Below are 16,108 nucleotides of genomic sequence, written 5' to 3'. Positions count from 1 at the left end.
CTTTGGGGACGTAGGCGCGGTCTGCGTGTGCGTCTTTTTCAATGTTTGCACGTTTGCTAGGCAGGCAAGGCGGAAATGGTGGCGTAATGGGTTTTGTTTTAAATCCCGCCCACGGGGTTTGGGTTTCTGGCTGTGAGTCAGGTTTCTGGAAGGCTTTATGGAAAATTAATGGTATAAGAGGTAAAACTGGATCTGTACTGTTTTCTTAGTCCTTAGCGATCCAAATGCAGTCTGGGTGCGGTCTCAGTGCTAAGATGGACCCAGCCTTCCCCTCTAAATCTTAGTGAACCGGCTTGATCCCCCGGTCTGTTCATCTTTCAGTGTTTATTCTGAGAAGGTAGGGGTGTCACAAGGAATAAAAAAGGCACGCAAACAAATAGACTACTCGTGTGGAACCAAAAACATTTTCAAATTATTTAAGAAAGCATGTCTTCGTGTTTTTTAAACTTTTTAGCAAGCGATTCTCTTAAGGAGTTTAGTTTTTAATTTTTGTCGATACACAGTTTTATATTCTGTGTTTTCTGGTGTGGCCTTGGTCTTTTATCAAATTTTAAAGGAAAGCCTCTTGTGCAGATGTGTTACAAAGAAAAATTTTGTCATTTTTTCACTTTTGAATTTTGGAGGACCATAGTAGTTTCTGAAAGTGCATTGGCTTTGTTTTTAGATGCTGCAAGGAAACAACCAAGTGTGTTGCAGAAATAAAATCTGTATGAATCTGCATCCGCTCCGTTTAATTTTAAACTAATTCCAAAAATGTCATCTGTGCAAAGTGCTCAGTTCTCCTGGAAAATTTCTTCAGCCTTGGTAAACACTTTTATCTGGATTTCAAAGCTCTTTGCAGTCCAGGGCCTATATAAAAACAATCCTTGTAAAAGCCAGAGGGAAAGGAATACAGGCTTTTAAGTAGATATTTTGAAAGAAACAGCAGTGGGCCGGAGGATATAAGAAAGATTGTCCGAAATTGCCAAATAAGTGTATTTCATTGTTTTTTGCTAAAACCGTTTGATAGTCTGGGTAGTTGGTACTGGAAAAAACGCTGCTGTGACGTGAGGAGTACTATGGCACCTGTTTATGTAGAAGTTAGGGGGATATTGCAATATCATTCAAGATTGGTCAGAAATAGGGCAAGAAGGAGGCAGGATATCCAAAGGGGAAGAAAAGGGGAAAATGTTGGAAGATACTAGAAAACACGTGAAAGAGGTCAGAGCTGAAGCTGTAATAGGTCTTCAAAGAGTGATCTGGAAGATTGCAAAATAGCTTTTAGACCCTAAAATCAAATGTGTGGAATATGGAATCAGTTTATTTCATCATTGCATACTTCAGCTTTGGCTATATCCCATTTAGTTGCTTACTTTTTTTTTTCGACTTTCCCATCTTTCTCTACATCGTATATAACCAACCTTAAATTGAGGGATTGCTTCATTTTGCTACCATTATACTATAAAGTTACAGTAACATAGCCCTTCACAGTTCAAAGAGTACACATATATTCAGAAATAGTGGCATTGACTCCTTTGCAAATATCCTCAACTCTTATCCCTCACTTTTAGCACTTCCCTGGCAAAACTCAAACCATGGATGAACTCCTGCATGCATTTATCTTTTCTGAGCTTGGGCTCAGCCTGTTAACTGTTGGGTGGACTAGTGTGATCTCACACCTAAATTGGCTCTGCATATTGATCAGCTCTCCTACTCCTTTGCTTTACTGACTTTGCCCTTTCCTTCTGTAATCCAAATATCTCATTCTTTTCCTTCCTCAAATTATCAACTTCCTCAACTAATGACTTTGCCTCACACTTTATTGAAAAAAGAATTGTGAGCATAAGCCAAGAATTTTTGTGTATTCCCACCATCGAATCTATTTGTGTCTGCACTCATCAAACATCCTTGTATAGGAACCCCCTTTATACATGGTATTGCTTTCCATAGTTTCAGTTACCAACTGTCAACCGAGGTCCAAAAATATTTAATGGAAAATTTCAGAAATATAAATTTTAAATTGCTAGAAGTTCTAAGTAGTGTGATGAAATCTCATGCTGCCTCTCTCTGTGCCTCCCAGAACGTGTATCCTCCCTTTGTTCAGCATCCACTATCACAGTTATCAACTATCACCATATCACTGAGCTTGGATTCAAATAACCTATATTTTCCTTAATAATGTCTCCAAGGCCCAATAGTAGTGATACTGGCAATTTGGATATGCCAAAAGAAGCCTTAATGTGCTTCCTTTAAGTGGAAGGTGAAAGTTCTCGACTTAAGGAATCACCTAAGGTCACTAGGAACCAAGTGGTTGGTAAGAATCAGTCTTCTATCTGTGAAATTATGAAGAAAGAAAAAGAAATTCGTGCATAATATATTTAGGGTAGGGTACTCTCTGAGGTTCAGGCATCCACTAGGTTCTTGGAACATTTCCCCTGAAGCTAAGGGGGAACTACTATAGTTTAAAAGGGTGACAGGTCTTTTTATCAAATGCCAACACTTGCTATTTTTAGTTTTTAGTTTTAGCCATTAAGTGGGTATATGTTCAAAACTTTTGCCCATTTTAAAACTAAGTTGTTTGTAATTGAGTTGTAGGAGTTATTTACATACTATGCGTATGACTTTTTTGTCAGAAGTATATGTTGTGAATATTTTTCTCCCAGTCTGTGGCCTGCTTTTTCATTTTCTTAAAAGTGTCTTTTAAAGAGCAGCTTTTGTTTGTAAGTTGTATATTTGTAGGGATTTGTACGTATCCAAATATTCATTAGCATAAAGCTGTTCATAAAATCCTCTCATTTCTGAGATTCACAATATATCTTATTTATGTTTACGATCCACTTAATTTTTAGTATGGCACAATAATGGTTGATAGTCATATTTTTCAAAATAGAAATCCTGTTATTCTGGTAGCATTCGTTAAAAAGATTATCCTTCATTGAATTACCTTGGCACCTTTATTAAAAATCTGCCGATCTTCTGAATTTCTATTCTATTCAATTTCATTGATAAATATGTCTGTTCTTAACCCAGTCCCACACTGTATTGATTACTGTAGCTTTATACGTCTTGAAATCAGATAGTGGAAGTATTTTTTTCCTCAAAATTACTTTGGCCATTCTAAGTCCTTTGCATTTTAATATAAATTTTTAAATTGTCATTTCAATTTCTAAAAACATCTGCTGGGATTTTGAATGGGATTCTGTTAAATTTATTCATCAGCTTGGAGAGAACTGACATCTTAAAAATACTGAGTTTTCCAATCTATGAACATGGCATATATCTCCTTTTATTTTGATCTTTAATTTCTGTTTGTAATTTTCAGCATACAGGTATTGCACATACATTGTTAAGTTTCTTCCAACACATTTCATGGTTTTTATTCTAAGTGTATTTTTTTAGTTTAAGTTTTCAGTTGTTGAATCATTTTATTTTAGTTCTAGAATTTTCTTATGCATAGATTCTACGTCTCTAGTATTAATAAATGCAAGGCCGGGCGCAGTGGCTCACGCCTATAATCCCAGCACTTTGGGAGGCAGAGGTGGGCGGATCACAAGGTCAGGAGATTGAGACCATCCTGGCAAACACGGTGAAACCCCGTCTCTACTAAATATACAAAAAATTAGTCCGGCATGGTGGCAGGCACCTGTAGTCCCAGCTACTCAGGAGGCTGAGGCAGGAGAATGGTGTGAACCCGGGAGGCGGAGCTTGCAGTGAGCCGAGATTATAACACTGCACTCCAGCCTGGGTCACAGAGCCAGACTCCGTCTCAAAAAAAAAAAAAAAATTAAATAGTTTGTGCCCATTAACTCCAGTATTTGGATCATCTGTGGATCTTGTTTCCATTATCTTTTTCTTCTGTTTCCTGGTATGCCCAGAAATTCTTTATGAAATGTTGTCTTTGTTTATGAAAAAAAAAAAAATACTGGGCTCTGAGTGGTGTTTTTTACTTTATGGAAGTATTTGTAGGATTTACTTTTGCTTCTATTAGGAAGCTAGGCTAAGGGCAGAGCACCTTAATCTAATATGGAAGTGAGATTATTTCAAACTGGTTTTTAGACTTTGTTAGGTCTCGTCTATTTCAGGTTCTTTCTTACTCCTGAGGTGACCCTTTCTGTGTCCCAGCTAAAAGCCGAGGTGTTAGGCCTTCCCTCTTTCGTGGGCCCTGAACTCGCATTTTTATTTTCTCAATCAGTGGACTCCTGAAAGCAATCTCTTCTCAGCTTCTCTGCTTCTTAGTTGCCATTATCTGTGTAACTTCTCAGCCTCTGAAACAACTTCCAAATTGATGAATAAGGTAAGGGGAAAAAGAGAGTCAAATATGGGCAGAATTTTCTGCACCCTTCTTCGGGATCTTGCCCTCTCAAGATCCTTTTTGTATTTTACTCAGATTTCCCTAGTTCTTCACGGTTCAGAGGCGGGGTCATTTTTTTTTAAATCCTCGTAATCTGAGAGTCTTTATGCTAATAAAGATAGGCTCATTTTTCTGAACTAGTGTCAATACTTTTTGTTTCTAAACATCAGAAGCAACACAGAAGACATGGAAGTGACTTTCCGTCTTAATTCCAGAGGTGTTTGTGGGGCCTCCTGGCAGTGGTACCCCCTTGCCACAGATGGGTTCCTAGGCAATGCCCTAGTTCTCTTTAGAGTTGGCCTGACTCTGTCTTCTGTATGGGGAAGCACCCTCTGTTCCTTTTGCTGAGAGATCAGGGTAGTTCTGTTTCCAGGCGAGCTAAACATGACTATGCTGTAGCTGTAAATTCAGTCTGTCACCTTTGGTACTCTTAAAATACAAGCATATGTTCTAGTCAGGCAAGAAGAAATACATCTTTTCTTTTCTTTTCCTTGTTGGTTTTTTAATTTTTTTTTTATGCCAGTAAAGAAATATACACTTCCCGGCCAAGCCCGAGAGTGGATTTGATTTTTTACCGTAATTTCAAGGAATAATTATATAAAACATTGCCCACAGGTCTGTGAGTGTACTGTAGAAAGATCGAATGATCAGGACTTAATCCAAGACCCCTCACTTTCTGCATGGGTGTAATTGAGCGTTATTTAACTTTTCTGAGCCTCAGTTTCCCTAAAGTGTCAAATAAGATACCTACTTGCCAAGACTGGGTTTTAATAAGATTGTTTGTAAAATGTCTGATACATAGTGGGTTCTTTATTGTTTTTAAAATTATTTATACAAACAGTTTTAACTTCAAGGGGGAATGTTAGTCATAACTTGTCTGCGTAGCAGCAGTATTTCGGAAACCACAACATTTCCAGATTTCTGCTCATCACTTAGTTTGTTTTATTCAGTAAACACTGATTGGACTCCCACTAAATGCTGAATGCTGCACTAGGACGCAAAACCAATGAAACAATAACCTTTCTCACAGCTATGTAAACAACTTGTTCATTTTATTGAAAGCCGTGCTCAGAACTGTTCTGGAAGTTTACTCATCTGTAGTGCTCAAGTCGTGGTATTTGCTCTCTTGCTGCTATTTAATGAATCCTGAAATTGTTTTTGTAACCTAAAATAAAATTTTTACTATGATAAAATAACCTAAAAGAAAATCTGATTAAAAAGTTTATTTAATGTGGAATAAAATTTAAAGCAGCTCTAATATGAATAGCAAGGGAATTTTGTTACTAACAAACCGATAGAACAATATAATGAGGCAGTTTCACTAAGACTGTATGACAAAATGGAACCTGAACTCTGCTCCAGTGTATTAATAATTAGTGTGACTTTTACAGAGATTGGAGTATAGGCTGTTATCAGACATCACAGGGAAGTTCTGTTCAGTAAGCTGGCAGAAGCAATTTCTTCTTTCTTTAAAGAGGAAAACCAGGTGGTTTTACAGTTGAGTGTTCGTTAAAAGAGGTATCTACCAGTTTTTCCCTTTTAATTCTGCTTTTCAGATTGTGCTAGCCCAGAGAGAGTTATAAATCCCTTGAATATAAGACATTGACTTCAGTTTTTATTGTCACCTCTCATATACATCCCTAATGTTTATCTAATTTTTATCTTACCAAGACAGCATAATCATTATGCAGTAAATATAGACTGAGTAATATTACAACATTCTCAGATTCAGGAGACTCTCCCATGATGGGAAAATATATTTCAGAATCAAATACTCTTATTTCCTAAGCTTCGTTTTCTTTATTATTTTTTATTAGTTTTCATTTTCCTAACTTATAGAATAAACAAATGCAGTTTGGAACAATTAAAAAGTTTCTTACAGTTATTGATGATAAAACAGTCCAAATGATGTTACACTAAATTTCATAAATTCCTGGCTTTAAAAATACGTATGATGTAATGGCATGTTAAATAATGGCCAGCACAATTTAGTTGTCTTATTTGCCATTTCTGTTTTGCTTCACCATTTTACCATTTTATTTTCCACCTTTGAGTCTTCAGTACTCTTAACTGTATCACTGAGGATTGACAATCCTATATATTTAATTTATTTACATGCACACACGGAAAATGGAATGTCACATCTAGAGTAGCTTTCCCATAACCCAGCTCTATTCATGTCCCCCAAATCACTGATGCTCTTATTCCAGATCATGATGAGGACCAACTGGGGTGTAAGCCTGACCTCTGTGTGTTCTATAAGGGATCACTCAGTCCTCTTCCATTCCAATAATTTAAGTATAGATTTTCGGACTGCCATCTCGCCTTGTATAATATGCTTAGATGGAATCAGTAAAACAAATGTGCCTTTTATTTCCCTGAATGGGATTATTGTAAAGAAACAAGAAGCCATCAATAAGGGGGCAAAGTTCCCTTTATCCCCAAAACACCAATAGTCACATTTGAGGGCTAGAACATATTTACTTCAGCTTTTGTGGTAAGAGAAAGAATGTAAGTTTTTTATGTTCAAAATAAAGTTGACCTTGGTGCAAAACAACCAATATGTTCTAAGAACTTTCTCCTCCTTTGGAGCAGGCCTTTGTTATATCTCTAATTAATATAATTAAGTTATTTTGAAAATCAAAACAATTAATTGATGTTTTTCTTTCTCATCTGCTCCTGGAAGTTGTATTTTTAAGTTACTAAAATACAATTTTATCTTTAATTGATTGCCTTTGATTCTCTGTGGTAAAACTTAAAATACAAAATATATTTTACTTAATTGTATCAATTTGAAATTGTTATAGTTCAAGAATATTTGTATGTAACTCTTCTAAACTTTGAAATCATCAATATTAAGTTTAAAGGAAGACTTGGGGCTAAAATTTCCAGTCAGTGCTTTTTTCACTTTTGCTTTTATTTTTGGCCAGTCGTATTCAGATTTATGTAATGAAGAAAACCCATTTGGTTCTCCTTTTTTTTTCTTTTTGAGACAGAGTTTCGCTCTTGTCATCCAGACTGGAGCACAATGGCATGATCTCGGCTCACTGCAGCCTCTGTCTCCTGGGTTCAAGCGATTTTCCAGCCTCAGCCTCCTGAGTAGCTGAGATTACAGGCATGCACAACCACACCAGGCTAATTTTTGTATTTTTAATAGAGATGAGTTTCACCATGTTGGCCAGGCTGTTCTCGAACTCCTGACCTCAGGTGATCCGCCCGCCTCAGCCTCCTAAAGTGTTAGGATTACAGGCGTGAGCCACAAACGGCCCGGTTCTCCTTTTATTATGTCCAGAATTTGGACATAACATCTTCTTTCATCAAGAAAATGGTACATTTTAATTTGTTCTGCTTTCCCTCTTTGGGGTTAGTGTTTCATTTGTCATGAATAGTTTGGATGGTAGATAACCATAACTTGAATAATAAAAGGAAAATAAGTTTTTATAAAATAATGTTAAAACAGGCCCAGTCCTTAATCTCATAGTGCTTATACTAGACACTTAGAAGAATTTAAATATATCCAAAGGCCACTGAAATGTTCTATAATCATTTTAATAGTGTTTCAACAGTGTATTCTATATATAAAAAAATACATTAGAAAAGGTTCCTTTTCTCCTGCTTAACATAGTACATGATCACAAAATACATGTATGAAAAAACAGCATGTAGTTTCAAATATCTTTAAAACAAGGATAAACAAGAGACCTTTTTAAAAATGTTGAAATCCAATGTCTACCTGTTGAATTACATTTAAAACCAGACAGAAAATACACACTTCTTTCTGTCCTACTTCTTCAACTATTTTCCCTGTCTGGTGCATAACATTCTTAAACTGCTTAGAGGAAACTTTACACAGAGCAATGCATCATCCAGTTAGTTCATGTGGCTCTCCCTGAGCTTGAATACCATTCCAAAGAAGATACTCTAAAAGTCTGATAACTCAAAATAATATAATTTGTAAAGGCCTAGTATTTTATGGTAGGAGACTCTAGGACATAAAATAGACATTCTATTGATGAGAAATCTGAGAGTATAGAAAAAGTGAAAAGTACACCCAGCTAACAAAAAGAGTGATTTCAGGGTTGCTAGTAGGCTTTCCTTGCTTGCCCCAGAGCATTCCTATTGTGATACCATCACTCCACTTATCTCTACTTATTGATCAGTTGTCAGTTACTTTTGAAAAGTCCTAAGCACAACGTTCTGACCAGAATTCTGATGAACATAAAGTAAGTATAAGATATGTCCTTCATTTCTAGGAACTTTGAGAGTAATTGAAGAAAAGAGACACATTCATGTAATGGAAAACACCTTCTGATGATGTGTGCTGTGAGAGCAGAGAAGAGCATAATTAACACTCAGCATTTGTTAAGGGCTGAACATGTGCCTAGAGCTTTATATCCAGTCCTCACAGTCATGATCAGAGTGGCTGGGGAAGTCTCCATGGAAGAGGTGCTCAGGTGTTTGAAAGTTTTATTGACATCAAATACAAGGAAATTGTAAGCAAAGGCTTTGGTTTAAATTTGCATGTGATCTTACCATGTACTTCCTAGCCTTTTTCAGTTTATATAAGCATAAATCCACTTACTTACCAGATGTAATAATTTTATTGAATGGAAACAACTTGATAGGGTGAACAAAAAAAAAAGAGCTTTGTTTTTTCTTTCTGTTGTTCCTTCAAATATGTGCAAGGAATATTTCTTCTCTACTTTGAATGATTTATCAGGTGGGTGCCATAGTATTTCCAATCATTTTAAAATAAAACATCCTCTGGTTACCTTTTGGCACAAGAACAGTTTCATTTAAATATTCAGAACTTTCAGACCATTTATAATCACATAGCTTCATAATCTTACCTAATTTAAAGCTGCTTCCCACTGCTGAGACCTGCTATGGGCAGAAAGGCCTGTGGGGGTTGGCTTCTCTTTTGTTTTCATATCTTGCTCTATTGCTCCTCACCCAGTCTGCTACCTACAGTGTCTCATCCTCCAGGGTCTTACTAGGTAGAAAGGACTGGGGGAAAAGACCCAGGTTTACATGGTCACTACTCTGACAATCTGGAACTGGCATTCTTGGGGCTTTGATTGACACTAAAAGTACCTCTTTATGTTCCTCTGCCTGGAATCTCCAGTGACACAATTCTCGGATTGGCCTTTCTCCCACTGGCCACTTAGGACTTAAGCCAACATTTAGCCATGGGTGACTGATATGTTTGCCTCACCTGGGTTCTTTCTGTTGGGGTCCCATTGTCCCAGCCCCTTTGGAAAAATTTTGTGGCTGATTTCTTCACCTGGAAGGTGCCCATCTGGTCCACAAGAACCACTTGTACTTCCTTGACCCAGTTTTGTGTGGAAATACAGTAATCATCTTACAAGACCACTGCTACCCTTTGGATTCCTCATGTCGGAATCAGACACCAGGTATGAATCAGATTAGTTCATAATTACTTGAGATATAAATAAACAATTGCTCAGAAGTACAACTTTTTTATACCCAAATGACATAAATTTCTCTCCTGTTTTCATGAAAGGAATTTTGTACACACAGTATCCCAGGTATATTAATAGCATACAAGTAAAAGTCAAAGCATTACAACTTTGACAAAAATAAACAGAATGTTTTCAGACTTCAAGATAGAAAAATTTCTTACAAGCACAGCCATAAAGGAAGAAAACTAAATCCAGGGACCAGAAGAAATGCTAAAAATTATTATTCAAGAAAACTTTCCTGAAATAAAAAAGATTAGAAGTTACATATTGAGAGAGTTCTCCATACACCTAAAAAGATCAACCCAGAATTATAATATCAAGACACTCTACCACAATTACTGGGTTTTAATTTTTTAAAAATCCTTTGACTATTTAGAGGGGAAAAGAGCACATGATTTATAAGAGATCATAATTAGATAAACTTCAGTTTTTTTCATTAGCAATACATTAGGCTAAAAGAAAATAAGGTAACATAATTAAGATTCTCAAGGGAAAAAAGTATGTGCCAAGCACTTTGTGTCCAGAAAAACTTACTTTGTAGCAAAAAGGGCACAATGACTATGAGATCTTCCTGAAGAGCCTGCTAGAAAATGAGCTTCAGGTAACAGGTGAGCAGAACGACAGCCTATAGACTGTGCTGAGCTGCAATAGAGACTTCGTAGGAGAACTAAGACTAAATGAAGGCTAAGAGGAAGAGAAAATAGTATATAATCACTAAAAAGATGGGGACGGGGGGACAGCACATGCAAAACCTTTTACAGTGTTTTCAGTACTTCTGTTGGTGGTAGCATTAGGATTGTTATTTTGAGACTATTAAGTGTATAATATGAGATAAAAAACAAATGAGTAATTATGGAATATTATAATTCTGTCATAGTCTGTGTCCTTGAGAACCAAGATTCTCAGTTTGGAAGAAAAAAGATACAGATGTAATAGATTAGAGACTAAGTAAAAGTCCTGTAGTCTTACATTCAAACTGGAAGTATTGGATATGAACTCATGAGGTTTCTCTCTCTCACCACTCTCTTCTCTCCCTTTCTATCTCTATGTCTGTTGAAAACACCTAGAAACAATGACCAACACAGTGGTAATGACTGTCCCTATTGCTTGGATTGTGTTCTTGAAATAATTCCTTATTTAAAGAAACCAGGTCTTCTAGGAGAAACTTCTATTTCTAGGCTTAAGGAAGGAAATGTACAAGACAAACAGCTTGACATACCATGGCAAAGTAGCTATCAAACACTACCAGGGTCTCAGAAACCAAATTGACAAGGCACCCACTAGCTAAGGACAGAATAATTTGAATGGCATTCACAAGAATAATTGCAATGGATTGAAACTTGTCAAATATATTTAAATACATGGTTCATAACGATACTTTTTTAAAAAGAGCTGATTGCCTTTAGAGCATGATAAGTATATTTGTCTGTTTTCAACACTGCTGATAAAGACACACCCAAGATGACAATTTACAAAAGAAAGAGGTTTAATGGGTTCACAATTCCACCTGGGTGAGGAGGCCTCACCATCCTGGTGGAAGGTGAAAGGCACATCTCACATGGCAGACGAGAAGAGAGCTTGTGCAGGGAAACTCCCCTTTATAAAACCATCAGATCTCATAAGACTTATTCACTATTACAGGAATAGCACAGGAAAGACCTGCCCTCATGATTCAGTTACCTCCCACCTGATCCCTCCCACAACATGTGGAATTGTGGGAGCTACAATTCAAGATGAGATTTGGGTGGGGACACAGCCAAACCATATCAATAGGGAACCAATTCATTATCTTGAAAACTAATAAATAAAGTGAAAGGATGAAGTATTCTGCTTTCCTATATGAACTGTAACACTAGGTAGCCAAATAGTAAATGAGGGAAAATATCTCTGTATAAACATATTCCAATTCATAGATGAAAAAAGAATTAACATATCACTGTGTTGCAGCCTCTAATGAATGAATACATATAGGTATTTCGCATGAATAGCTGCTAATATCATTAAAAAGAAAGACAGCCAGACATTATATACCTCTTGATGGAAGCACACAACACTACCTATAGTCATGCCAAACGGATTAAACCCAAATCTTAATTCGCTCCTTGTTTTCAGAAAAACAGAAGACAAGAACAAGTTGAAATATGCAATTGAACATGCAATTTGCAAAATTCAGATTGGGAAAACTCTTGGATTTTTCAACAGATAAACTATAACAAAAATAAATTACAGATGAAAACACAAAAGACATAAAAAAATGTATGAAGGGGCAAGACCACACTTTAATGCCTAAGGATGCACATGAACACATAAAGATGCATCTCAGTGATAAAGAATGAAGAATGCAAGGAAATAATTACTGTAAAAGCCAGAATAATGGTTACTTATGGTGGGAGGAAAAGAGAATTGCAATTGGTATGGGATATTTGGAGGGGTTTGGCTCGGGGAGTTCTTGCAAAGTTTGACTTCTTGATGTGGTGGTGGTTAAAGAGTTGTTCACCTTTATTTATGAAGCCATGAATCTGTTTTGTGTGCTTCTCTGTATTTCTCCTTTATTTCACAATAAAAATAAGGTGTTGAAGAAGCATTCACCAAAAAAAAAAAACATGAGTAGAGGCAAGGGAGAATTAAGTTTAAATTTAAAATGTTGGGATACCAGCAATTATTATGCATGTTTTTTAACTCTTTGATATTTATGTAGGCTCCTTATCTTTTCTAATTTTCTCAATTGTAAAACACATCAATAAAAAATTTCACAGGGCTCCCATTACCTACAGCAAAATTTCAAACTCCTTAATATGTGGTTTCTTATCCGGGGTTCCCCATTTACCTTCTACAGATCATTTGCTACCGGTACCCCCTAGGCATCATTGGATGGACTCAGATAAAATCCTCACTATTCTTTGAACATGCTGTATTGTTTTTGTGCTTTCATGCCTTTGGATTCCCATCCCCTGAAATACTGCTATTCTTCCTGCTAAATTTAGTTTAAAGGTTACCACCTCTATGAACACTTCCTTTTCCCCTAAGCAGAATTACTTGCTTTTTTTGTCTGTTTTCCCATATCGTTTTGTACATACTTTGGCTTAAATCCTTTTGATAGATCTGTCTATATGACCCTTTCTCCTTAGTTTAGAGGTCTTGAGGAAAATATGTTATATTTATTTTTGTTTCCTCAGTCCTGGGACAACACTTGGCATATGAATGAATGAATGACTGGCTGGCTGGATGAATGAATAAGTGAATGAATGAGACAGGAATTGAGGGCTCCAAAGATATACTTCGTTGTAACACCATTGGGTTCAGTAACAAGATGCAGATTTCTAAATCAACTATGTACAAGTGAAAAATAAAGGCATGAAACTACAAAAGCTTGTTCCATATGTAATTTTTAAGTAGAACTGGACATCATGATGACTCTTCTGTGTTCTCACATCTCATGCTTTATTCCGTTAGTTTCTATGCATCTTCAACAGATCACATCATGGGATTTGGAAGAGATATTTGGGTTATTCAATCAACAGGGCACTAACTTTCGTCTTAGTCTGTTATGTTTGGTCCCTGGTTCCTTTTTTTTGCAGTATTCAATCCATCAGAAAGAGCATAGTCATGGCTCTCATAAAGTATATAACACAGTTAGATCTCTGGCTTCCTGAAGTTCTGTCAATATCTTGTGTAAAATATGAGCCAAAAAATAAAACAGGAAGTAATAAATAAAACCCTATGAATAAATATAATTAGTATCCCCATTTATTCCAATGAGATGGCAGAGGCATTGGGAGGTTAAGTAATTGGCTGAAGTCACAAGTTACCCTCTTTACATGAAATTTTGGCAAAAATTAGAATGATAATTTTATTACTGGTTTCCTGTACAGTAAGCAGAGGAATCATGATATGAACTTAGGCAGCAGCCCACTTTCATTACAGTAAATATAAGCACTGAAAAGATGATCGTTACTATGATGAAAAAAAGAAATCTCGTGACCAGCACTAGGAAGTATGAAAAACTGGAAGGCCTCTTATTTCTCAGATGTGGAATCAGTGGTGTCTTTCTTGCTAATTTAGCAGGAGAAATAAATTCGTCTGTTATAGGAAGATCTGAGATTAGAAACATTTTTAAAGATAAATTCAATACAAATTATATTAGCTCAGGGCTGCGTGTGGTGACTGATGCCTGTAAACCCAGGACTTTAGGAGGTTGAGACAAGAGATCCCTTGAGGCCAGGCGTTTGAGATCAGCCTGGGTAACATAGCGAGACCTCATCTCTACAAAAATAAAGAAAAAAAAGTTGGCCAGCCATGGTGGCACACCCTACGGTCTCAGCTACATCGGAGACTGAAGCTGGAGGATGGCTTGAGCCCAGGAGTTTGAGGTTGCAGTGAGCTATGATTATGTCACTGTACTTCAGCCTGGGTGACAGAGGAGACTGCATCTCAAAAAAAAAAAGAGTATATATATATATATATGTATATATATATATGTATATATATATATATACACACACACACACATGTATCTGTATATTGTGTGTGTGTATATATATATATATATATAATATTAGCTTAGCTGGGGAAAACTTTGATATGTGTTTAAACTTCATCATGTTTTGAATGTTCTCTGGAGGTTCATTACACAAACTACTTTGTTGAGATATAGGACAAATCTACTACCTGAAGAATAAATGTCAAAGACAACTTTCAGTCTATGCTAGGCTCTGACATTCAGCCAATTTCATTTATATTTGGGACCAAAAACTAGTGTTACATTACTTATGGCTTTTGGATATTAATGGTCAGTTAACGGGTTCTTAATAGTATTCCAAATGTTTTAAAATATGGATATTTCTTTATAAATGTGCCTTCCTCTAGAAAATTAAACATGATGGTCTTAGTTTTCAAATCATCTGAGTAAGATTCTTCTTTGCAAATCAGGAAATTTAAAAATAGCATGCTATAATTTTAAATATTATATAAAATTTAAATTTGTATAATTATTTCAGAAATGTCCTAGAATTTTTTAAACAAAGGGGTTACCTATCTGTATTTTTATTTTTTTCTTTTATTCTGAACAGAACAGGATGAATAAAGGAATCAACTCTTTATTTCTCCTGGCTTGGACAGTCCACCACCTGATTCTTTGCTATATTTGCATCCATATAAATATCTTAACTCAGAAATTTTTTCCTAAGTTCTCTTTATATGAAATTTGGGCAAAGATTAGGAGGAGAACTTTATTATTGGTTTTCTATAATTCATAATTGATTTCCTTTTATTGCTCAATTGTATGTAGTAGAAACTATTCAGTAATGTTTATTACATTAGTAAAGTTGACTGTAGTAGACTATTACCTATTCATAGCAACCTTACAGAATGACTATAAGGATGGCATTTTTAAATTTTTTGTGTGGGGGAAGGGGTCTGGGAAAGGAACAAAGGAAGAGGTATTGTTTGAGTAATATATGAACTACAAAAAGTAAGTAATGGATAAAGACCCATAAAAAAAAAGTTTGAAAAATCAGGGATTACATTCCAAGAAGAATGAAGTTTGATGGAAAACTCTTGTTCACTTATTTTGCAATACAAAGATATTAAATTAAACCCTTAAAACTATGTATTTAAAATAATATAGAAGAGGCTAAAATATAAAAGAAAAATTCTAAGGAATAAAACTTAATAAATAATATTTTTCTAGCTGTGTCGCTTTCTTGTCAAAGAACAAAACAGTTCTCTTCTTTTGACCACTGGGGCTCCCCATTTGTAATGGTTCTAAAAACAACACTTCAAACCACTGTCATTATTTAAAATTCACGTCACATGATCCTCAGGACAGCTCAGAGACACAGGAAGTATTGTCTTCCTGTTCTCTATCTTTACATTTTCATTATTCTTTAATCAATTTACCTGTCACGTACTAACATAATAATAGTTAATATTAACTCCTCACTTAGTATGTGCCACACACTTTTAAAAGTGCTTTACCCTTATAAACTCCTTACAGTCCTTACAGTCCAGAGAGTACAAAGCATTACCACTTCTAGTTTTACAGAGGAGGGAACTTAGGTACAGAGAGAAAAAGTAAGTAGTCTGTAGTCTGTAGCTTGTTAAGTGTCAGAGCCTGGCTTTGAACCCAGAACTCTAGCTCCACAGCTGGCATTCCTAACTACTCTTTTGCTCTCTTGGTATGGTGGCTACAAAAGTCAACTAAAACTTAGGGTCCTAGGGAAGAAGCACGCAGAGAAAGCCATGGAAATAAGCAATTCGGTCTTCATTTAACAAATATGTATTGAGTGTTCACCCT

The 16,108-nt window shown here is 35.9% G+C and overlaps 1 protein-coding gene across 5 annotated transcripts in view; it reads left to right on the top strand.

Moving 5' to 3' along the window:
* STARD13 (StAR related lipid transfer domain containing 13) overlaps window positions 1-16,108 on the top strand; it is a 573,658-nt gene that overhangs the window by 134,260 nt on the left and 423,290 nt on the right. Inside the window, exon 1 of one of the 5 annotated variants that reach the window (XM_047430760.1) lies at window positions 41-9,744. The exons of the other annotated variants lie outside the window; for them this stretch is intronic. The gene's annotated coding sequence lies outside the window, so the exon portion shown is untranslated. Of the gene's footprint in view, window positions 1-40; window positions 9,745-16,108 lie in introns of those variants that run through there. 5 annotated transcript variants of the gene reach the window in all.

This window comes from Homo sapiens, chromosome 13, assembly GCF_000001405.40.
Source record: "Homo sapiens chromosome 13, GRCh38.p14 Primary Assembly".
Lineage (NCBI taxonomy): Eukaryota > Metazoa > Chordata > Mammalia > Primates > Hominidae > Homo > Homo sapiens.
Note: the sequence above shows the minus strand (reverse complement) of the source record. Positions and strands in the feature narration are given on the sequence as shown.